Here is a 24002-nt window from a genome sequence, read left to right on the forward strand (position 1 = left end):
CTCTGATATTTAAGAACTAAGTGTTTCTCATTTAGTTCTATCCATGATCTCTTTCAGAAGTCAACCACCTCCTGTGTAAAAGCCTCATAGAAGCCACTGCCTTCTGAAGGAAACACACCAACTGGCAGGGGGTCAGGGTAAGCCAGGAGTCACACCCAACTACCACTGCTCACACCCAAGAACCCCACCCTACCCTGGCCACAAAAACTGTGCCTAGACTCCAGCACAGCCTGCAGCTGTGTTTCAATTATAGCTGTGTTTGTAATTATAGGTCATGTGCCTTCTCCCCCACCCCAATCACTCCACCCCAATCACTCCATTTGGCTAACAAGTGACCATATTATAACACAAAAATGGAAAACAAACTGGAATGCTCGAAAAAGTTACAAATAAAAACGGTATGAAGGCATATTAAATTTTGGCTGATACTTCCCTTTGATTTTGCTAAACTATAGCAAAGGCTGGCTCAATGTTGATTTTTACTGAAGAGTATCATTAACTGAAGAAAGAAAAAAAGACATAAACAGTAGTGAAATAAAGAATAGGCAAATACACCAGAATTATGAATAGAAGCCATTTTAAAGAAGAGAAATATTCTACAACAGATGAAGAAAGTTTTAATTTCTTTTCACATTAAACATTGTTTACCACAATCAGCTAACAGAAATTACTGTAACATTGGTCACGATGACTTCATAAAACTAAAGATAAATGTTATGAGGAAACTTCATTTAACGTGAATGGTAATGTTAGATACTGTATTTTTCCATGGTAAAATACAACTTATCTTGAAGAGAAAGCAAATAGTTCAGATCAGGGAGACATGCTGAGGTTTTAATAAAGAAAAGCTTGGCCTTGTCCAGAACACTTAACAAAGTTCAGGACAATTTAGGTAAAAGAGATGAGTGAGACACCAGCGTTAGGCAGGGACATAGGCTCATCATTCAGGCTTTATGTACATTACTGGATCTATGCAGCTCTCACCTTTAGATAAGTGAGCTATATTTTTGGCAGAGGGATCTTCAAAAGTAGCCTTGGATATGAGGAATCGTATTTTAACCACCAGGCAGTCCAAGGAATTATTTTTAAAGGGACAGCTGAGTATTTCACGTATATACTATTAAGGCATCTAAATTTTTGGTGTTTTCAGTATATAATTTTACTGCTACTTTTTATTCTTTTTTTTCATATTGTACAACTATGATATTAGGTATTAAGCGACGTAATTCTTTCTCTACTAGTGAACCAGTTTATTTCACTTAGCAAACTCTAAATTGAGGGAAATATATAATCTGAGAACACACAGAAAAATATATTGAAAAACCAATAGAGAATTATTTTTAACCATCATAAAAACTCAATCTTAATTAACTGATAGTCTTTAACTTAAAAAAAGAGTAATCAGAATGAAAATAGGTATTAAAAATAATTACCAGTAGTTTGTTTTACAAAATAGAGCCATAAATTGTTTAATTGCCCAATTAAGCAACTACCAGATTCTTTAGTCAACACTAACAGAATTCACATTTCAGCTAGTCAACAAAGCATATAAATATTTAACATCTCTTGAAGATAACATTTTAGTGATAACGGAGACTACATAATTCTATCCATTGTTGTGACTGTCCACAAATTAACCAGGTTAAATATCAAAGATACATTGGGAATACTCCCCAAAACAACAACAGAATATTAATTAAATGAATTTTAAAAGCTTAAGAAATGAAAGTAGAAAACATGAATGAGACGGTGCTTAAACAATTATTGACCTAATCAAGACCTTTAAAATTACCACCAAAATGCACTATCATTTTTTTTTTATTTAGTTTACAGGAAGAATCTGTAAGTACAGGTTGCAGAAAGAAAACGTTTAGTGCTATTTACATTCATTTTAAAACTCTGCTCTATACAAATTTAATTCTGATCAGTATGAACAATATTTTCGTAGATCTACTGCATATAAAGCCTTTTCATCAAAGCATTAACAATGAATAAAATAACATGATTACATTTAAACAACGCTGACCATTTGAAACCATTTACATTTAATGTTTGTAAGGGCTGTTGACACTTAGTACAGAATGTAATGTCAGCCTGCAACTTCATTTTTATAAAGGCTAAACTTATTTATATGGAATATTGTTCTGTATACTACGCGCCAATCTATATTTTAAGTCCTGTAGTTAGGTATTTTATAAGTCTTTTATTAAATATATTCTACACATATTTGTAATTTCATCCAGGAAGAATTTCTTCCCAGTGAAAAAATATAAAAATCTTTCATATTTTTACAGGTTTAGATGAAAGTAGCTCATGCTTTAGTGCTGTGCAAATTGTTTTTAGCATATCAATCTTTAAATTATTGGTATGAAATAAAAGAAAAAGTGGCATTCTTGTGTATGCCATAAAAATCAGCTTTTGACTTTAATACAATTGCAAGCACTAATATCAAACGCAAACTATATAAAGAAACAAAATTAGTACTATGGAGTTTTTTTTTAATTTTAAGAATTCATCTGAACTCTAAGGAGTAAGCATGACACTGGATGTGGTTACAAATTAATGATAATTATGGAAAATTTCAATTTGCTGATATTCAAATACATAAAATTGATCAATGAGGTTTTCTAATATTTCTGCACAATAATGAAAGCCGATGAGTGACTGAAACTACCCTCCCACATTAAGGCTAGGAGACGCACTCTCACCCCTTCTTGTGCTGTCTAAACAAACACTCAGTTACTGTAGGACTCAAGAGTGCATGTCTTAAAGGAAAAAAAATTAGTTTCATCAGCCCTCTACTGAGTGCTTTAAACAGGCACATTTTGTTTTTTCATTTGTTGCAGTGAAAATAGTCACACTCAGTTTAGTATTCTGTGCCAGTGCAGCCACCACGGCTGACTTTGGTAGAATTCACCCAACATTTTAGTTTCTTTTCCATTTTTTCCTCTCAAGTTGGCCCAGTAATTAACTTCATTAATTGCTGAGTGTCTTCCAGTGTGGAATTGTATATATAAGTATTTCTAGATACCACACACTGTTATAAATTCTGCTGATGAGGAAAATAATGCCAATCTTTTTAATGCAAATTGTATTTGGAACACTTGATTTATTAGTTCTGATGATGAAAATTTTGTGGCAGCAAAATGGTTTCTGCTACGAAAGATAACTTGTTAACTTTTCCCCTGGAGATTGACTGCATTCAAAAACCAATATGTGTTAAAACAGCTCAACAAAAAATACAAGAAATAAAAAATCAGAGTGAAAAATGTTCTTGGTTCTTTTTACTTTCATGAGAAAAGATGACAGTGTTCATGTGGTAATTCAGTTCCATGTGTTTACAGGCAGACTGTTCTGAACGGTTTCTGAAGCAATGTCGGGTCTTTTCTGTCCCAGCAGCATGAAAGACAAAGACTATATCACATCACACTAGGCAGACAGTGTTTACAGGATTACACAACAATTACTCTCTCCAGTCTTCTCACGATTCCTCTGACCTAGGGAAAACGAAGAAGAGCCTCGTTTATAAAAATTCTAGAACTGGAGGGGAAAATGGGCTAGGCAATCAAGTGTAGGAAGTAGTAGTTTTGAGTTTTTAAAAATGTTTGCATTTTTCAAAATTAAGAAGCTGTAATAAATGTTCTTTTAATTTTAGCATGTTTCAAAAATGTCTGGTTATTTGCTTGACAATCTCTATTCATAAACTATGCAAACTTCCCTTCCCTCAGCATATCCAAGAAAAACCTAGCATTTTTGAATGCCTGTCTTTGTGCCTCAACTGAGATACTTTTCCAGTGCATGGCTTACCTTGAGAGTTTGGCTCTGGTAATGTCTCTCTGGCCACCAAATGCATCACTGTTGTTTTGCCAAAAGGAAGTTTTAATGCTATGTGAAAAGCAAAAGATGATTAGTTACACATATATCGACCTATTAAAATCACTATCCAGATTTAAAACCATTTTAAAAATTGATTGCTTTTTTATGACTTCTTTAACAGATTCAACTTAACTCAGAGTACCTTCACAAAATTAGGTTAATATTATCAGAAATAACATTTAAAATTTAGAAATTATTTTTTGCAGTTATATAGCCATTTGCTTGACACATTTATCCATATTAAGAGATGATATAAGAAAAAATATGTAATTGGCTAATATCAGAGGCCACCTTTAGAGGAGAAAGGATTAAATTTTTTTTAAAAGAATACTCTTTTCTATATTAGGTAAAAGTTTAGATTAAGAGATATTCATTTCTAAATCTAATTACTTGTCTATTGCCTAATAAAATTACTGCACTGAACAGGCTACTATGATGTAGAAATGCAAGAAATAAACTTGATTTTAAACATTTATTCTCACCCTGTATTCGTCCATTAGAAAAGAACTTTCTTAAAAAGATTAGGTTAAAATAATCACTTTCTTGGCATTATCAATAATCACTGTTTCCTAATCAAGTCTTTATAACATTTTTTCACTCATAAATTTAATAAATTTTATCATGAAATATTTCAGACATAGAACACACACCCATGTCCACTAAGGCAAATACAAATACTGAGTTTCATGGTAAATCCCTTTGTTACTCTGTGTATAAAATTAGAAGCAGCTGGTATATTTAGCTTCTAGAACTGTTTCTATAGTTGTTATGTTTTAGTTCTGACACCTCAAACTACCCTCTCTTCAAAAACTACAAACTGAAGTAAGGCCTAAGATCATCACTTAGCAATAATGATCCTCCACTCCAGCTACCTGCTTTTTAAAACCTGCTCTATAGGATGATGGTTAACATGCAGATTTTAAAAAGAATCCTAATTATCTTCAACACTAGTACTATTTCATATATTCAAGGTGAGTTCCAATCTCATTTAAAGTTGGCCAGCCATTATTTGGTCTACACTTTTAACCTCTGATGTTCAAATGAAGCACGATGGCCCATAAATACATAATGAAAAAAGGGAGGCTTTTAGAATAACTTCCTAGGCCTGACTTAAATCAAAATGTAAGTAAGACTTTATGTTATTAAAATTTTCACTAAATAGTTGGGAAAGCCTGATCAACATTTCAAACCTTGAACTGAACTTAAAATGTACACATACCAAGCTGTATATCATTCTCATACCCGTCTTCTTGACTCTAATAAGACAGACCTGGATTACAAATTTTCATCTCTGCTACTTCCAACTGTGTAACTCTCAGCAAGTTACTTACCCTCTAAGCTTCTGTTTCCTCAACTAAACTGGAGATACTAATTCCATTACCTGCCCTTTGTAGCTGTGTCCATTAAATCAAACAATCCAAGCAAAGTGCTTTGCACAGAACTTGGTACAAAGAAAGCATTCAGTATATACTACCATCATCATTTTGAGATAGCAAGGAAAATGAATCTGAGAAAAAAGGTAGGTAAACTGAGATATATATGTAAAAAATGTCAAGACAGGCCTGGAAAGCTCCTGAGAGGCTTACCATTTGAAGTTACAAATGTAATGCGTGGGAGCTATTATTTTTCTTCTCCATCTGAATTTTAACTAGAAATAGTAGGTATTGATGTTAATAACATTTAAAAATGTGAAAGAAGAGGAATACCAGAATCTAAAATGCGTTTTCTTCCTTTCACTGTGGATGCTTCTGCTCTCTCCTATGACACAGTACAATATCCAGAATAGAGGTTTTCAACCTTTAGCGTACATAAAAATCACCCAGGAATTCAATTCACTAGTAAAATTAGGAGATGGGGGTTGGGGAGAGAGGGCATGCAGAAATCTGCATTTTAAAATAAGTATCCTAGATGAGTCTCATGCCCACTATTTCAGAGCCACATTTTTGGAAATGCTAATCTGGGCCATACTGAATGCCAAAGCTTTAGCTGATCATCTTCTTCACCCTCCGATTAACAAGGCTGCTGTCACACCTTTCCTTTAATGAAATGAAACTCTATATGGCTATAAAGGTTCTATTTTAAAAAGGGGGGATTCAGGGCTATGTTTTAAGACATTTGATAACCAAACATTTCAACCTGAAACTTAAGCAGAAAATTTCAAGAATGGCAGAGAATGCCCAGGCTTCCTACTTTGTCTGCATAATGGCTGAATTCCACCCATGGCTGTATACCCACTACTTCGTGGTCATCCACTGCTTGACCACTACCTATAACAAGATCTCACTAACTTTCCCTGGCAGTCTATTCTTTCTTTAGGTAGCTCAACATGTTCACATATTCTTTCCTATATTGAAGAGAAAACTGTCTTTGATTTTCAGTTACTGATCCTAAGTCTAATTCACAGGGCTATACAGAGCAAGTTCTAGGGCCACACAAAGCCTTCTTCCACACAGGCCACTCAAATATTTAAAGATGGTTGTATTTCCCTGTGTGCTATCTTCTTTATTATTCACATTGAAGAACACAGGGAGGCTAAAAAGAAAAACTGAGACCCAAAAGACAAATAGTTGAATGTTGTTATCCAAACTTGCTCAAACATCCAGCTACAATTATTAACGCGGAGGTCCAGGCCATGCTTCTACACTAGAGATAGTTTATTGTTTTTGAAAAGAAGGACAGCAACACAGAATTACAATAATAATTACATAAGTCAATCTGTTCATTATTCTAAAACAGATTTCAAAAAAATACTGGTAAAAAATTATACTTTAGTGGGAATAAATCAATAGTTTTGATTTTAACACAAATTCTATGAGCTTTAATATGAAGTTCAAACTCTGAGGTCACAACAGAAAAGATAATTAAGGAATGGAGTTGGTGGGAAATTGCTCACATAGATCAATACTCAAAAGGGAAATGGAGCATTTCAAGGTTCACTCATATAATCGATAGATTAAATTCAACCAACATTTACCAATTTTTAATTCACATAAGATCTTGTATGAGCCATGGAGAATTTTAAAAAGACTAGAACATGGTCCCATCCTTAATGAATGTACAATATAGCCAGGGAGCTAACAGTCAATTCTTACATGAAGAGCATTAAGAGTTGGTCCATCTATTTATACAAAAGCTATAAAAAAAAAGCTACAAATCAAAAAAGCTCCATTTTAAAGTGCCAGATATCTCTTAGTAGATAGCAGCATTTTTTAGACCAGTTATAATACTACCAGTGAAACTCAGTGTGAGATTACAGCCTGAAATGTTTTACTCACTTGACATTGTCATAAAATCATTTGCATTCATCTACTTTAGCCCTTATTGCCCAGGATTTTTACCAGTGCATTTTATCTGTTTGTCCTATGTAATACTAGAGCAACCTGAAGGGAGAGCTTCTGTCTTATTCAATCCTGTATTCCCAAGTGCTTAGCACAGTGTTGGCCCATAAGAATTTAATAAATACATGCTGAATGAATGAATGCAAATATTCTACCTTTAAGGAAAAATAGATTAAATATTAGGTTTAGAGGAAAAACTCAGACTATATTCAGTGAAATATATATTTAGATAGACCATTTCATTTGCCTATACGTTTCCAATTATCTGAATATATTTGAAATACCTATTTTCAAAACTACCATCAAATCCTGTTGATGGTAGAAAATATACCCCATAAGGGGGCAATATTGAGCTACATTTCTCCAATCATATATAAAGAACAATAATAGCTAACAATTAAGGTGTTTACTATGTGCCAAGCACCATTTATGCACGTAAGCACTTTGAATATATAAAGTAATTTACCCTTCTTAACCTATGAGGTAGGCACTACTGTAATTCCATTTTACTGATGAGGAAACTGGAACACAGGTTGGTTAAGTCACTTGCCCAAGGTTTACACAGCCAGTAAGTAGTGCAGCTAACATATAACTTAAATAGTCTAGTTCCAAAATCTGTTCTTTCAACTATTATGCTAAAATGCTGCTCTAATGTCAGCCACCTACTTTATTCTCACATGATTAGCAACTGTATCAGGTAGAAACATCTGAAAACATCCCTTCATATATTTGAAAACTATCATAAATTTTTCCTAGTTTGTGTGTCCAGTCTTAAGTTTAAAATACTACATCTGAATTATATATTATTTGGAAATATAATAACGTTACATTTAAAAAATAGTAGGTATAGAATCCTACCTATACTGGGATAGAGTTTATTTCACAAGGTAGTAAATACTTACTACAGTCCTAAAACTAAATTTAACAGAATATACAATGTGAAGGAGTAGGCATACCAGAAATAGGCAGAATTCATAGTTTGAATTTATCATTTTTTTTAGCAAATTCAAAGACATTAACATTTAAAACAAGCGAATCATGCTACCATGAGACAGACATTAAATCCCATTACAAAGGTGGCTGTTACCTCCTAATGTGACATTTCCATGTAGAAATCGTCCTTGATAAATAAGTCGTAGAATATTTGGACTGCTGACCTGCTCTTCTTCCCAGTCTGAAAAGAATCCAGTGTACTGGTTAGGTATATTCCAACATATAATTAAGGTACTACTATATTGTTTTAAAAATTCAGATCCAAATCAGTTAGAGTACAAAGAAGGCCCTTGGAGCTTCCTACTACTATTAGAAACAGTCACTATTCATACATTTACCGCAACCTTGGTTATTACTTATTCTTTTAAGTAGCAAGAGCTGCAAAAAGACTCGTTTTGCTTCTTAAAGAATACTAAAATGTACCAAATTGTAGTCCCCAAGTTTAAAGTTAATACAAATGAGTTGGGAAAGACCTACTGAGTAAAAAGAAATATCATTTTAAAATTAATTTCAATTACCAGTAATTAACACATAGTATTATAATGCTCCAATATTTGTACCTGTTAAAATGTACATTTAAGGCTAGAAAACAGCAGGCTTAACAAAGATCTAAAAAACAGTTAATATATTGATATTGAGAATAACAAAAAAACTGTTTACTTTTGGATAATGTTGATATATTATCTTATTGTCTATCTGAAGTCAGTTAGTAAACATTAGAGAAGATACAACTTTAGTTCACCTCACCCAAAATGAAGACTTGGAAGAAACCAAAAAAATTATATATATTTGGAGGTACTGTACAAACATGAAAGCTAGAAAAGTGTACACACAAAGAAAATAAGACAAACTGGTAGGCAGAATGGGTAACAGAATATTTAACTTCAGCCTATAATTTATATTATTGTAAAAGATGGAAACCACTCCATTAAAATAAAGGTTTAAGGACACTAGTGTTATGATAGGGTAAAGGTTTAGTAATTTTCATGAGCTTGCAGATGTAACAATTTAAGCTTTGAGTTTAGTAATGATCTGAGAATTCCTTTGTCTTTTTTGTCAACAATTCTAATGTGTTTGTTTCCTATAGAAAGAGATAATGGTTAACACAAAAAAATAGTTTAAAGTATTCTGAAAGAGTGACAGAAGATAAAGGAAGTAACTAGAGACTTTTCTTTTGCCCTTTTTTTGACTATTCAAAATGATGAATGTGAATTTGATAAAACCACTGCCTATAGGTAACTTAGGCACAGCAGAAATGAGCAGAGGAGAAATGAATCCGTCATTTCCTGCCCCCGCTCCATGCCTTTAGTCTCTTCCCTCTTCTGTCTCCTGTAAGGCTTTGTTGCCTTCTGATCCCATTGTTCCCAGGTCCCTCCTATTCTAGAAGAAAGATCAAATAAGTCTCTAACACTATAGTATGAATTGCTTTGAATTCATCAATTCCAAAATTATTGTTTAATAGAATATTTCTGGTCAAGATGGAAGTGCTCCATAGATACAAAGGTAAATGACAGTAATTGTTTAATTCACAGGAAACAAAGACTGATATTCTAAAAATACTTGAATTTTTTTTTTGAGATGCAGAAACCTGAAGCCCCATGTTTCATTATCTTATACAGAGTGTCATGATTTCCACGTACTTCACTGGTGTAATATGCTATCTCCCTTCCCCTCTCCAGGGATCTAAAATTTAGAGAAATCTTAGAATATAGCTTAAATGAAGAATTTCAGGTGTTATTAACATATCCTAAGTATAACAAGATTTTTTTGAACCTTTGACCCAATAATAGCTATGTGTCTGACTATTCCACCTGTTAGTAATATTTCCACTAAATAGCAGAAGGGTATGCTAAGGAAAACTAATTCCTTCAACAAGTATGTTGCACGAAGTATTTTCTGCTATTAATATTTGCCACACATTTGTTATTAACATCAATAAGTATTTAATTTGCTGATCTTTAGTACATTATGTGATACAATATAGACTTAGATTTTTAATTTAAGTATTTTATGTAAAATAAAAATTAAAGTATTTCTCTTTATTCCTTGCAGTGTCTAAAACTGCTGAGTAGATTTGGCAACCTGAGGAAATACTGGGAATCAAAATCTTTTTTTTGAAAATAAGGGAACATCCACTGATACAATCAATATTCAGTACTGGTAGATGGTCTGTTCATTTGGGATACTATTTATGGCAAAGACTTATACTTGAATTTAAACTAATTTTAATATCTAAGTAAGTAATTATGAAAGTAAAAGTATTTCTTTTACCTTAAGTTACAATACTGCCCAAATAAATTTCAGAGTGATTACCCTTTTTCTGCCTTGTGTTATGTTTTCTATAATATCCATATATCAAAAGCTATTACTTACTATGACCGCTCCCCCCAAAAAAAATCTCATAAAGGTAATCTTTTTGTATCACACTTAGAACAACATCATTCTTGGGTATTTAAAAATGCTTTTCATACTGATAGTTATCTATTCCTGCCTGGCTATAAAGAATAGCCAATATTCTTAGATCCCAAATATCTTTAGCTTTTCTGAAATTCTTTCTTAGCTATAACCTTTATAGCTTCAGTATCTCCCTGACTTAGAAACTAGCCGCTTGGTTACTAATGTGAAGAAAGATCCAGTAGTTGAAAGTATTTGTATAAATCAGTATTTCTTAAATTTAGGCCTATGAATCCACCAAGACATGTCCTTAGGGTCTAAAAGTCCTCTTCAAGAAGTTTTAAATTGTATTTTTTTTTTTAATGAAAATCTGGAAAATCTGTATTTTCATTTTAATGAAATCTGGAGGAGATTGTCTAGATGATTTAAATAGTGACTTTATAACCCAAGTGCAGCCTTGGGGTTTTAGTACTCACGTGTGCATTAAATTTATGACTGTACTGGTGCCAAGCAGTCAGTACTTCTTTAATTGTTAGGAGGCTAATGAGATCAGAACAGGGGTTCACTTAACAAGTAAATGATGCATTCTACCTATGAGAAAACTGAGTAACAATTTGTTATACTGTATAAATAAAGGTTTTATGGTGACTCTACAGACAACCTGGTCATCAAACACTATGTAGGAACATAGGCATGACAAACTCAACAGTATTCATGCTGTAAGCAGTGAGCTGGCTTTGGCAAAAATACATCATCTAGCACATTAATGTTGTTAACTTGAACATTATTGGTTTCAGAGTTATATTTGCATTTTCTGAATCAATCTTTTTTAGTTTTATGATTGTGTATATGAGTTAAGAAGAATAAAGAGTTTTAACTGGGTTTAAGTTTCTACATTTTAAAATACGCATTATAATAAAAATAATTTAAGTCAGCAACTAGAGATCTACAAGAATTATCTTCCTCTAGAAAAGCTCCGTATATTATTTAAGGTTGAGAAACACTAATCTAATTGACTCATTTTGTACATATACTATGTTCTTTGTCAAAATAAGTCTTGTCCTTTAAAAGTTCAAATTGCTACTGCTAATAAAATTAAGTGAAATCAGCTGAAAAAAATCATATCACTATGATACATGACATAAGGATCAAGATGACACTGGGGAAGTTCAAAGGAAGAAAATAAACCAACAATTCACTTGAGGGAGGCAATTTTTTTTTTGAGACAGAGTCTTGCTCTGTCACCCAGGCGGGAGTACAGACGCATAATGTCAGCTCACTGCAAGCTCTGCCTCTCGGGTTCAAGAGATTCTCCTGCCTCAGCCTCCTGAGTAGCTTGGATTACAGGGGTGCACCACCATGCCCAGCTAAATTTTGTATTTTTAGTAGAGACGGGGTTTCACCATGTTGGCCAGGTTGGTCTTGAACTCCTTGACCTCAAGTGATCTGCCTGTCTCAGCCTCCCAAAGACCTGGGATTATAGACGTGAGCCACCACGCCCAGCTGACGGTCTTATTATATAAAAAAAAAATCAAAGAAAATAAGAAATACCAAACACATTTTCCAAGATTGTTATGGTTACTGGCTTGAAAATGGAAAGCACAGACAGACATTAATTATCTTGACCTTATAGTAGTTCAGAGAACATAAGAACTGACATGAATTAGAAGTTAACTTTGTTTCAAACTTAATTTTAAATAGGCTATCTAGAGAAGACCACAGAGAATGTATTATCTGTTAAAAATAGTTGTTCTTTCCTCTTTGTGTTTTGGTAAAAATAGGTTTACTGATATGAAGGTGTGTGTATATTCACTATTTTGTGTTTTTTTTTCTTTTTTTTCTTTTCTTTCTTTTTTTTTTTTTTTTTTTGAGACAGGGTCTTGCTCTGTTGCTCAGGCAGGAATGTAGTGGTGTGATAATTGCTCATGGCAGCCTCAAATTCCTGGCCTCAAGTGATCCTCCTGCCTCAGCCTCCCAAGTAGCTGGGACTACAGGCATGTGCTACCATGCCTGGCTAATTTTTAAATTTTTAGCAGTGATGACATCTTGCTATGTTGCACAGGCTGGTCTCACACTCCTAGCTTCAAGCAATCCTCCTGCTTTGGTCTCCCAAAGTGCTGGGATTACAGGTATGAGCCACCATCCCTGGCTGCATTTTTCTTTATTAAAAATATTTTTTGGCTAGGCACGGTGGCTCACGCCTGTAATCCTAACACTTTGGGAGGCCGAGGTGGGTGGATCACAAGGTCAAGAGATCGAGACCATCCTGGCCGACATGGTGAAACCCTGTTTCTACCAAAAATACAAAAATTAGCTGGGTGTGGTGGCACGTGCCTGAAGTCCCAGCTACTCGGGAGGCTGAGGTAGGGGAATCACTTGAGCCCGGGAGGCAGAGGTTGCGGTGAGCTAAGATCACGCCACTGCACTCCAGCCTGGCGACATAGCGAGACTCCATCTCAAAAAAAAAAAAAAAAAAAAAAAAAAAAAAAATTTTTTTCACTTACGTTAAAACAGTTCTAAGACAGAAGCAGAGCCATTGCATTCTGGGCTCCTTTACCATTTGGGAATGAGACTGCTGAAGAGCAAGATAAGGAAGGGTACAATGATCCTCTAAATCTGAGCCTTATACTCTCAATTTTCGGTTGTTCTTTTAAATGTTATATAACAGTTTCAAAATGTTTGTGAGACAAGGTAGGGCATAAGAATCAACATTATTCATACTCAAGAGAAAAATATCACTCACCCATTGGCCAATTGTCATATACATGCTTTGCAATGTCAGAAGCAGAATCGTTAGGAGAAAACAGGAACTCTTTTGTTTTTCCGCTTACCAAAATGAGGCGCAAATTTATCTGAAAGAAGACAATGATTCTTTTAACATAAATCTAAAAATTTTTTAAGTAAAAAAGAAGACTCAAAGGCTTTTCATTTCAATCACATCCTAAATTATTACCAATGCCATATTGTGGTTTTTATTTAAATTCTATAAAACTTTTTTAAAAAGAATGGGAATTTGATATTTGATTTTATTTCCTATTATTTAAAGGGTGTGTGTGTGTGTCAGACATATTTGCCATAATAAATGAACAAAGGAAAACCAAAATTCATTACACTTTTAAATTTAATCACTCCAACAATGTTCAGAATTGAACTTTTGCAAGTTATCACTATTATTATAGAATATACATTTTTACCCAAAAATTAATAAAAATGTTGACACTGCAGGTCTCGTCACTAAACAGAAAAAAAATTTAGTTGATATTCTACTTCTTAAAAAATATAATTAAAAGAAAATAAACTATATACAAGTTTTTTTCCTATGAAAATTATTAAAACCTAGACGAATTAACAATAAACTATGTATGTTTTTTTGAGACAGAGTCTCTGCTCTGTCACCCAGGCTGGAGTGTAGTGGTACAATCTTGGCTCACTGCAACCTCGGCCTCCCAAGCTCAATCCATTCTCCTGCCTCAGCCTCCCAAGTAGCTGGGATTACAGGTGCTCACCACCACGCCCAGCTAATTTTTGTGTTTTTAGTAGAGATGAGGTTTCACTATGTTGGCCAGGCTGGTCTTGAACTCCTGACCTCAAGTGATCTGCCCACCTTAGCCTCTCGAACTGCTGGGATTACAGGTGTGAGCCACTGTGCCCAGCCAAGAAACTTTAATTTTAAAGAACTTTATCATGGTTAAAGAAAGAATCAATAATAGTAGCTCTTTTAGCCCCAACTGCATGACCATATATTTTTTAGGGGGAGTAAGGTAGGACACATGGGACAAAGGATATAAATTCAACCTCAGTGATAACCCTAAGGGGGATAACAGAATTAAAGTGTTTGAGATCTACTGGCTTCACATTTCCAAGTCAATATATATTTGCTTATACCATTGTTAATGTATTTCCCAAATGTTTAATTTTTATCTGTTGTAATTAATTTAATATTATTTTTAAAAAACACCATATCTATGTATTTCCCTGTAAGTCACAGAAATACAAGTGTTGTTCCTATTACTCCTGGCCTTTGTTAAAAGAGTAAGTAAGATCCTACTAAAAGTTGGGTCCAGTCCAGAGCTGTGCCCTGGTAAGGCCATCTAGCCTAGTTTCTTTATATATAAAGAACAGAGAACCTCATTGCACCAGTTTGAATTGTGCCAGGTCCCAGGTTACCCAAGCTCTCCTTTTTAGTTACTAATTTTTTTTCTTATTAAAAATACCAGAAAATCTTTAAGATGTCAGAGTCTACAATGAATAAATTGGTGCCTATTACAGCAGTCACTGATTTACTATGTTTACTACCACCATGGCCAATGTCACTCCCAGCACCTCACCAATTTGATAATTTATTATTTGAAAATTTTGTTGAAAGTTATAAAATATCTCCCCTATAAAAATGCATGTACACATTTCTGGATTCAATGTAATGCAAATGAATTTCACATTAGATGGAGTGGAAGTAGATTTCATATTAGAACCTGTATTCTATCTACATATTTCAATTAAAAGTTTTTTAGAAGATAAAAGAAAATAATCTACATTCCAGGTGAAAAACCCTTTCAATATGCCCAATAAGAATTTCTTGCTGCTTTTTCTAATTAGAATGGAATTATACCAAATAGCTGAATACAGGAAGAGATCTGATAACATGTTGCTGTAAAGAAGTGATCCAAAAACTTTGAGTTCCACTTGAATAAGTTCAAGAAGTAGTCTGCAAGAATGATTACACTCTACGAAAGTACCACCTTGTTTATTTCCTATAGCAAATCAGTAATGAGCAATTCTTCAAGCAAGGAACCTAACATCTATGCAACACAATATGAATTTCAGTCCTCACAGATACATTACTACTCATGGTTTTCTCTTAATGTATGAATAACAAATACATATTACCCTATGAACTTATACGGAATATTTAAGGTTCTTCAGTCATTAATGCCCAAGAAATTCTGCCCCTAGTAGTTCAGCCACTTGTGTTTAACTAGAAAAAATATAATTAAATTCAAGCTTTCTAATTAAGAGTTATGCAAATTATGTGAACTTAATACTTCTTAAAATTTTTTAAGCTTAAAATTAATTTCCATTGGGCTTTTACTCAAATTATAATATTTAAAAATGATGAAAGGAAATAGATTTAGTCTTTAGGATCTGTAAAGGTGACACCAAAGCCTACTTTTGATTTTCCCTGATGTCTATCAATATGGAAATGGGAAAATAAATGATAGTATATCCTTACCATGGAAATCCATGCAGCTGTTAAACGACATGAGATAAAGACCTGTATGATCTGACATGAACAGATAGCCACAATATATTAAGTGAGAGAAAGCAGCCAGGTATAAAACAGTATTGTGGGAACAACAGAACACATGCCTATTTGCTATGGACTGACTCGCATCTCCCCAAAATCTGTATTGAAGTTTTACCTCCCAAAGTGACTGTGTCTGGAGGATAGGGTAATTAAAGTTAAAGTGAGATCGTAAGGGTGAGGTCCTCGTCTGTACCACAGCGGCCTTATAAGAAGAGAAAGAGCTCGGCTCCTATGCTCTCTCCCTCTTCTCTTCCTGCCCTCCAGGTGGGGAGAGCAAGAAGGCAATGGTATTTTGCCTGTCTACTGTATTTTGCTGTGGCAGCCTAAGTTGAATAATACACACAAAGAAAAATATAAACCAGGCGCGGTGGCTCACGCCTGTAATCCCAGCACTTTGGGAGGCCAAGGCGGGAGGATCACAAGATCAGGAGATCGAGACCATCCTGGCTAACACAGTGAAACCCCGTCTCTACTAAAAACACAAAAAATTAGCCAGGCATGGTGGCGGGCACCTGTAGTCCCAGCTACTCGGGAGGCTGAGGCAGGAGAATGGCGTGAACCTGGGAGGTGGAGCTTGCAGTGAGCCAAGATTGTGCCACTGCACTCCAGCCTGGGCGACAGAGCGAGACTCTGTCTCAAAAAAAAAAAAAAATATATATATATATATATATATATGTGTGTGTGTGTGTGTATATATATATAATAAGTTATATATATATATATAGCAAATAAGAAATGTGAGGCTCCCTTTAAAACGGGAAGCAGCTTTTGATAAAATAGAAACTGATTGGTGAGAAGGTTGACAAAAAAATCAACAAAAACTAAAAACTAAATTACTTGGATCTAAAAACATCTTGTTTATTCAAGTTTCGTTATAAATTCCTTTGCTGTGCTATAACAGGCTACGAAATATAGAATATTCATGGGTTGCTAAACAAGTAACCTGTTTACTAATAAGGTTGAGAAAAGGTATAACTAAGACTACATTTACCTATCCTACCTATCCTATATTTTCTATCTTCAGTGACAAATTTTTCTACTTTGTTTTCCTGTCATTCCATATAAAGAGATCAGGACTCTCTTGCTGCCAAAATGTTTTATTACAGCAACTTGGTTTCTTGCCTCTCTGGTACAGCAGTTTGTAAGTTTATAACTTTGAATTAAATAAAAGTGCTAGCCAGGCGCGGTGGCTCACGCCTGTAATCCCAGCACTTTGCGAGGCTGAGTCAAGTGGATCACCTGAGGTCAGGAGTTCGAGACCAGCCTGGCCAACCTGGTGAAACCCGGTCTCTAATAAAAATACAAAATATTAGCAGAGCATGGTGATGCGCGCTTGTAGTCCCGGCTACTTGGGAGGCTGAGGCAGGAGAATCACTTGAACCCCAGAGGCAGAGGTTGCAGTGAGCCGAGATCACACTACTGCACTCCAGCCTGGGCAACAAGAGCAAAACTCTGCCTCAAAATAAATAAATAAATAAATAGTGCTTCTGACAGTTTAAAACCCTAAAATACAAAGCAGAACTCTGGTTATATTTCAATAGCATGGATGTGTATATCTCACACATATATATGTACAAACTAAAGTCTTGAAGGATATGTACCAAATATAACAGTCCTTATTTCATCTTTAGTTTCTTCATGTATTCCTGCATTTTCTAATTTTCACATTAAGTCTGTATTACTTTTAAAATAGAGTAACATTTAATTCAAAGAGTACTCAATCATTTCAGGATATTCCTAATAAACTATTAATATTTTAAAAAGTTAACGCTATCAAGTACTGTATCGGTATGGGCTTTCAAAGAAATATAAATGATTTTCTTAAGTAGACAAATAAGCATATCAATTGTAATAAATACCGCTCTGGTGGGGGAACGCTGATAATAGGGGAGGCCGTGCATGCATGGGGGAAAAATGTAAATGGGAAATCTCTGCCACCTTCTCAATTTTGCTGTGAACCTAGAACTGCTCTAAAAAATGAAGTTGGCCAGGTGCAGTAGCTCACGGCTGTAATCTCAGCACTTTGGGAGACTGAAGCAGGAGGACAGCTTGAGGCCAGGAGTTTGAGACCAGCCTAGGCAACAAATTGCGACCCTGTCTCTACAAAAAATTAAAAAAAAAAAAAAAAAAAAAAAGCCAGGTGTGGTGGCACATGCCTATAGTACTAGCTACTCTGGAGGCTGAGGCAGGAGGATTACTTGCACCCAGAGTTCGAGGCTGTGGGGATACAGTGCAATGATCATGCCATTGCACTCCAGCCTGGGTGACAGAATGAGACCCCATCTCTAAAAAAAAAAATAAAATAAACATAAATCAACAAAGCCTACTTTTTATAGAAAACATTAAGCACAGAAATATAGAAATACAACATTTAAAAATAAAGTTATAAGATATTCATGGATCCTTTGAAGACTATTCATTGAACCTAAGACCTTCTGTTCTAGATGTCCTTGTTCTAGATGTTCTAGATAATGTTCAATTATCTTTGAACATTCCCAATCTCTTTTTTTCCACTCACAAGCTTAAAAGCTTGTGAGAGGAAAACCAAACCAAACCAAAACAAGACAAAACAAGACACACATACTGTACTCCATAAATTTAACTGGGTTCCTGCCACAAAATTCTCAGCATTTCCTAATTTAAAACTAACACACATCACAGTTGCCAATAAACTGATATTACACTTTCATATTTCAAAAATCAATGGTCTAAAGAGTTCATATTTATCTAGATGTTCAGAATGTTGGAAACTCATAGCCTCTAAATATGTTTGAACCAAATTTAAAAAATATTATTTTAATGTTTATAGGTGGGTATGAATCTTCGGTTTGACACAGACCCTACTACTCCCTCCTTACTCCCCCTGGCCTGCTTCAGACACTCAGGAAACTGCCTAGTTCCAGAAAACATTTGAGTTTGTTAACTCACAGTAGAGTTTGAAAGTAGTTTGGAAGTATAAAATGAGAACAAAAAGCAGGTTAAGATTTTAAAATCTTCTACTCAGAGGAAACCTAATCACCCTTCTGGGTGGGGAAGGGGGAGAAAATGACAACTGCAACAGTAACTGTGTAAATACATAAGTCTAAAAATTTATCAAGTCTTATAGCAAAACTGCTTCAGGAAAGAAGCTTATGTCCAAAATTGAAAAGAGCAACAATAAACCCACAGCACTGCACTGCTGAGTAAAGTAACTCTTGCCTGAAACATCCAGTGCCTGGATCAGTGTTTGGCACATAGTAGTAGGTGCTCAGCCAGTAACTGTTGACTAATATTTCTGTTTTTTCAGTTTTAAGATGCAACTGAAAGTGCAGACTAGAAAGGTCAGAGCTGATTCAAACCTAGGCTTCAGCATTCTGGCATTGTATTGAATGAGTGGCATAGTATGTAGAACAGGAATGGATAATAATTGTTTCTTGGTAGTGCTGTGGTCATGCAGATAGTTCAAATGCGTGAACACCTCAATCTTTAATTTGTTTTGGGCTCTGGATCTTTACTGTCAGCAACATGCCAGAGTTAACATAAATGCTATCATTTAGTCAGGTATTTTGAAAAGTAAAATTAATTCTAAGTTACCGTATTAACGTATACATTTGGGTCTACTTTTCAAACGGACTAGGTTAATAGATATAGACAATTAACAGATTGGTCTTAATTGGGCCTATGCTTATATCTATGAGACAAGCTTGCTACTAGACTAGAGCCATGAATCTGCCTCAGTATGCTTGTCAAGTATACCTTAGGACTGTAAGAAAGATGGAGAAAAACACTGGATTCCCATAATTTCCTTTAGAAGAAATCTTGAAAGCAATCACGCAGATAACTGGATACCGGGCTGGTTATTAGTTAATTGTTCCTATGCTATAATAAGAATCTTCCAGGGCTTATTCAGATAAATAATGTTAATTGTAGCTCCTCTCAGTAAATGTATGACAATTTCTATAAATGTGAGCTTGTTCCTTTAAAATATTAAGTACTTATTACTTAAATATTTATTAGTGAAAGGCCTTTTTACTTCTTTGAAGCCAAGCTAAGTCTAAGTATAAAATACATTTAAAAACCTCTGCTTGTAGGGTAATGGGATCCTTGACACATCAATAATGGGTTAAAAATAAGACTTATTTACAGCTTAAAATGTTATATACTTTGTGTACATACCTGTCTAAAAGAAAACTGGTAATAAGGACTCTGACTTGGTATGAGAGCTATTATGTAGTAAAGTTCCTAAGAGATGGCATTTAGATCATTCAAATGAATTATATATTTTTTATATTTACTTTTGAGACAAAACAAATCAGACAAGACTATTAGTGAGGCAGAACTACCATGATGATTTCCTGTAAGGCCAATGGATACAACAAGAACTCTTCAATGCATGTAATTTCAAGTTAGAACCATTTTTAGTCAAACTGCCATTTCTATTTGTTAGATAGTATCAATTTGGGGAAATTACATATAGAACTTAGTTTATAAAATAATATGTTTTTAGTTGGTCAGGATGGAAAAAAATGACGGGAAAGAAAGAGGGAGGATGGAAGATGGAACTGACTAGAATGGTCTTTGGATATAAAATATAATTACAGAGATGGACCATGCCCTTTAAAAAGGCTGTTTTCTACCAAAAGACAAATACGTTGATCAGAAAAAGAATTCCCACTTCTCCTCTGAGAATCTCTTAAGAATAAAATGAGTATTGGGATACTCTTACTTCACATGCCAGTCTTCCTTAGGGAAAACCATCAACAGAAGCACCCTTTGCCTTTCTACTGCTCATTCCTGCCTTCTTTGCTAAATGGCAACAAGCAGCAGGTAGCCAGTGGGAAAGGTATTAGACCCTTTTTGCAAATCTTTGGAAAAAAAAAAAAACAACTCCCGACTTATATCAAGGGAATTATGCTTAAAAGGTAACATACTATATGATCCCACTTATACAATATTCTTGAAATGACAAAATTATAGAGATGGAGAATGGCCAGCTGGAAGGGGAGACAGGAAGGGTTACTTTGCCTATAAAAGGGTAGCACAAAGAATCCTTGTGATGGAACTGTCCTGTATCTTGGCTGTAGTAGTTGGTACAGGAATCTATTTGTGATAAAACTGCATAGAACTAAACACATACACACATGCACACACACACACACAAATAAATGCATATAAAACTGGACAAATATTAATAAAGTCTGTGAATTTTATCATTACCAATTTCTTTTGAGACGGAGTCTCACTCTGTCACCCAGGCTGGAGTGCAGTGGCGGGATCTCGGCTCGCCGCAACCTCCGGCTCCCGGGTTCAGGCAATTCTTCTGCCTCAGCTTCCCAAGTAGCTGGGACTACAGGTGCACGCCACCATGCCCGGCTAATTTTTGTATTTTTAGTAGAGATGGGGTTTCACCATATTGACCAGGCTGGTCTTGAACTCCTGACCTCAGGTGATCCACCTGCCTCAGCCTCCCAAAGTGCTAGAATTACAGGCATGAGCCTCCATGCCTGGCCTATCATTATCAATTTCTTGTTGTGATACTGCACTGTGATTATGTAAGATGTTACCATTAGGGAAAACTGGGTGAACAGTGTTGGGGATTTCTCTGTATTATTTCTGAAAACTGCATGGTTAATTTATAATTGTCTTAAAAAGATTTTTTTTAAGTGCTCAACTTTTTATAATTTGGTGTTTATGTCGGTCTCTGGTTATTTTTCTTATTGACATTTGAAAATGAATAGTTTTTAAAAAATAACATCATATTAAAACAGCTACTTGATCTAGAAGATATAAACCTATCAGTGACTTATTTTAATATGTAAATTTTAAAATAAACATTTTCTAGAGTTATGAATTTATAAAGGGCATATTTTGAATTTTTGCTAACTGTACTGTAAAAGAAACAAAGAATGAGGAAGCGATATATTCATTTTCCTATGTAAGACTGATTTAAAATAAAAATTATTCAAACAATTGCAGCGCTAAAATATGGTAATTACGTATTTCATAAACTTTCTTTTATTCATTTATTCAAACATTTTCTAAAACAGACACTGCTTGGTACCTGGATTGCAAAAGGTTAATATGAAACTCCTTGAGGATCTCATAACCTTGAAGCTATGAGAGACATACAAACAGATAACTACAGGAGGGAGGGATAGTTAGGATATGTAATTGTAAGTGCTTGATAAATATTTGCTGGACGAATTTTAAAAATAATAAAAAGGAAGCAGCAGTGGGTCTGAGATTCCTGAGTAGGGTGTGGAACAGTGAGTTATAAAAAGTAAAAATAATAGCTTGCCATTTATTGAGTGGTGTAGTATATTTCAGGTACTGCACTTGGTTATTCTACCTAGCCCATCTCTGAAAAAGGTATTACTCTCCCATTCTAGAGTTGTGGGACAGAGTTTAGAGACTCTAGTAAGCAGATAAGCTGTGATTTGAGCCCAGGTGCATCTGAGCCCACAGCACCTAGCTACCATATCACTCTACTAAAGACCAACTGACTCAGCAACTCTGTACCATGGTCCCTATATGGACCTGCTTATTCTCCAGCATCATCTCCACCACTCTTCCCCTCACTAGGCTCCAACCACAGGGGTCTTTCAGTCAAAACTGTTAATTTCTTACTTGCCCCAAGGCCTTTACACAGGTTTTTCCTTCTGCCTAGAATGCTTTGCACTCCTCACCCTCTACCCCGATTCACACATTCTAGCTTATAGATGTCTGAGAGGGAATGGCATTAAAAAATCCTTTGGCCATCTAATCATCCTGGATGAAATAATGACCCATTTTTTGAAAAAAAGAGTAGAAAAAGAATTTCAAAATAGAACTGGAGAAGTCAAGAAAGGATTTCTCTCCCCCACCGAAATGGGGCAGCAATCATATTTGCGAAGAAGTAATTTAAGCCATCTGTGAAAACAGATTTTAACCTATAATACATCTGAATTCCTAACTATGAATTTACTTGTATTCAGTAGACTAAGGCATGAAGTTGTAAACTAGGGTACATTTAGATATGCTAAATGGATGGAAGAAGCTACGGGATCTTTTTCTATATTCTGTTTAGCATTTAGTTATGATGTAGATTCTAATATTTATTAAATGTTAATATCAAATCCTTATAGGTAGAACACTCAGTGAGATTCCTGTTTTTACTTGTGGAAACATTTACCTACCCTATGAGGTAGATAAGAGAGGTCAGAGAGTCCTCTAGCTTAAGTTCCCAAATAAAACTTTTACAACATATCATTTACTTGGAATGTGAACTTGCAGAATATTTTGACTCATTTTAAAATGTAGGTGGAAAACTACATTCCAAAGCAACATTTAATAATTTTTGAATTATAGAAACCATTCAACTACTTATTAGCTAAAATATTTTTGGGGGAACACTCAACATGAACAAAAAGCTGTTGGGCTATAGAGATGAATGAACAGGAATAGTTAATTAGCCTCCTTGCTTTCTATGTAAACTGTTTTTTTTTTCTTCATCAGTGAAGAAACAAAGAAAACTTTGGGTTCTTATAAATACATTTCAGAATCAAAATATAAAACTCACAATTCATAAAGCATTTAGTGCCCAGCACGTAAGTCCCTAATAGTTAGATATTATCACAAATTATCATCATTATATCCATCATCAGTTTAGTAAATCACATAACGCTAACTATATAATGCTCTTTCCTTTAGTACTTTAAAATGTACATTTACTTTCAGTTTGGGAAACTTTGATAAAATTAAAATTCCATGAGAAGACTGACAGTATGTTTTATTGAGAATTCTTGCAAATTATTGTTAAAATTACTTTTTTTGCAAGTTCAAAATCCTGTAAGCTTACAGAACATATTGATTCTGAAATTAAATTATGGTATCACTTTAAAACCTGACTGTAGGATATCCCTTGCATCTAGGATACAAGGTAACAGCTTTAACCGGATTTCAATGTGCAATGGTAGCCCTTTGGTTTTCTATACATACTATTAACTTAAATAACAAATTTGAATGAATTCAAAAGTACTTTCTCTAGGGCACTGGATTGATTTCTAGAGAAATCTTTGTTTTGGGGAGTATCTTTAGGTCACATGGCTCATTAAATTAAGAACAGCTGTTTAGTACAA

The 24002-nt window shown here is 34.6% G+C and overlaps 1 protein-coding gene across 2 annotated transcripts in view; it reads right to left on the reverse strand.

Annotated features, from left to right (window-relative positions):
• Positions 1-560: 560 nt before the first annotated feature.
• UBL3 (ubiquitin like 3) overlaps positions 561-24002 on the reverse strand; it is an 86247-nt gene continuing 62805 nt past the window's right edge. For both annotated transcript variants that reach the window (NM_007106.4, XM_047430394.1), the window contains 4 exons: positions 13345-13453; positions 8302-8388; positions 3808-3885; positions 561-3497 (listed from right to left, as the gene is read on the reverse strand). In NM_007106.4, coding sequence (NP_009037.1) covers positions 3445-3497; positions 3808-3885; positions 8302-8388; positions 13345-13453 — 327 coding nt within the window. In that variant the 3' untranslated portion in view covers positions 561-3444. The remainder of the gene's footprint in view (positions 3498-3807; positions 3886-8301; positions 8389-13344; positions 13454-24002) is intronic.

Source organism: Homo sapiens, chromosome 13 (genome assembly GCF_000001405.40).
Source record: "Homo sapiens chromosome 13, GRCh38.p14 Primary Assembly".
In the NCBI taxonomy this organism is placed as follows: domain Eukaryota; kingdom Metazoa; phylum Chordata; class Mammalia; order Primates; family Hominidae; genus Homo; species Homo sapiens.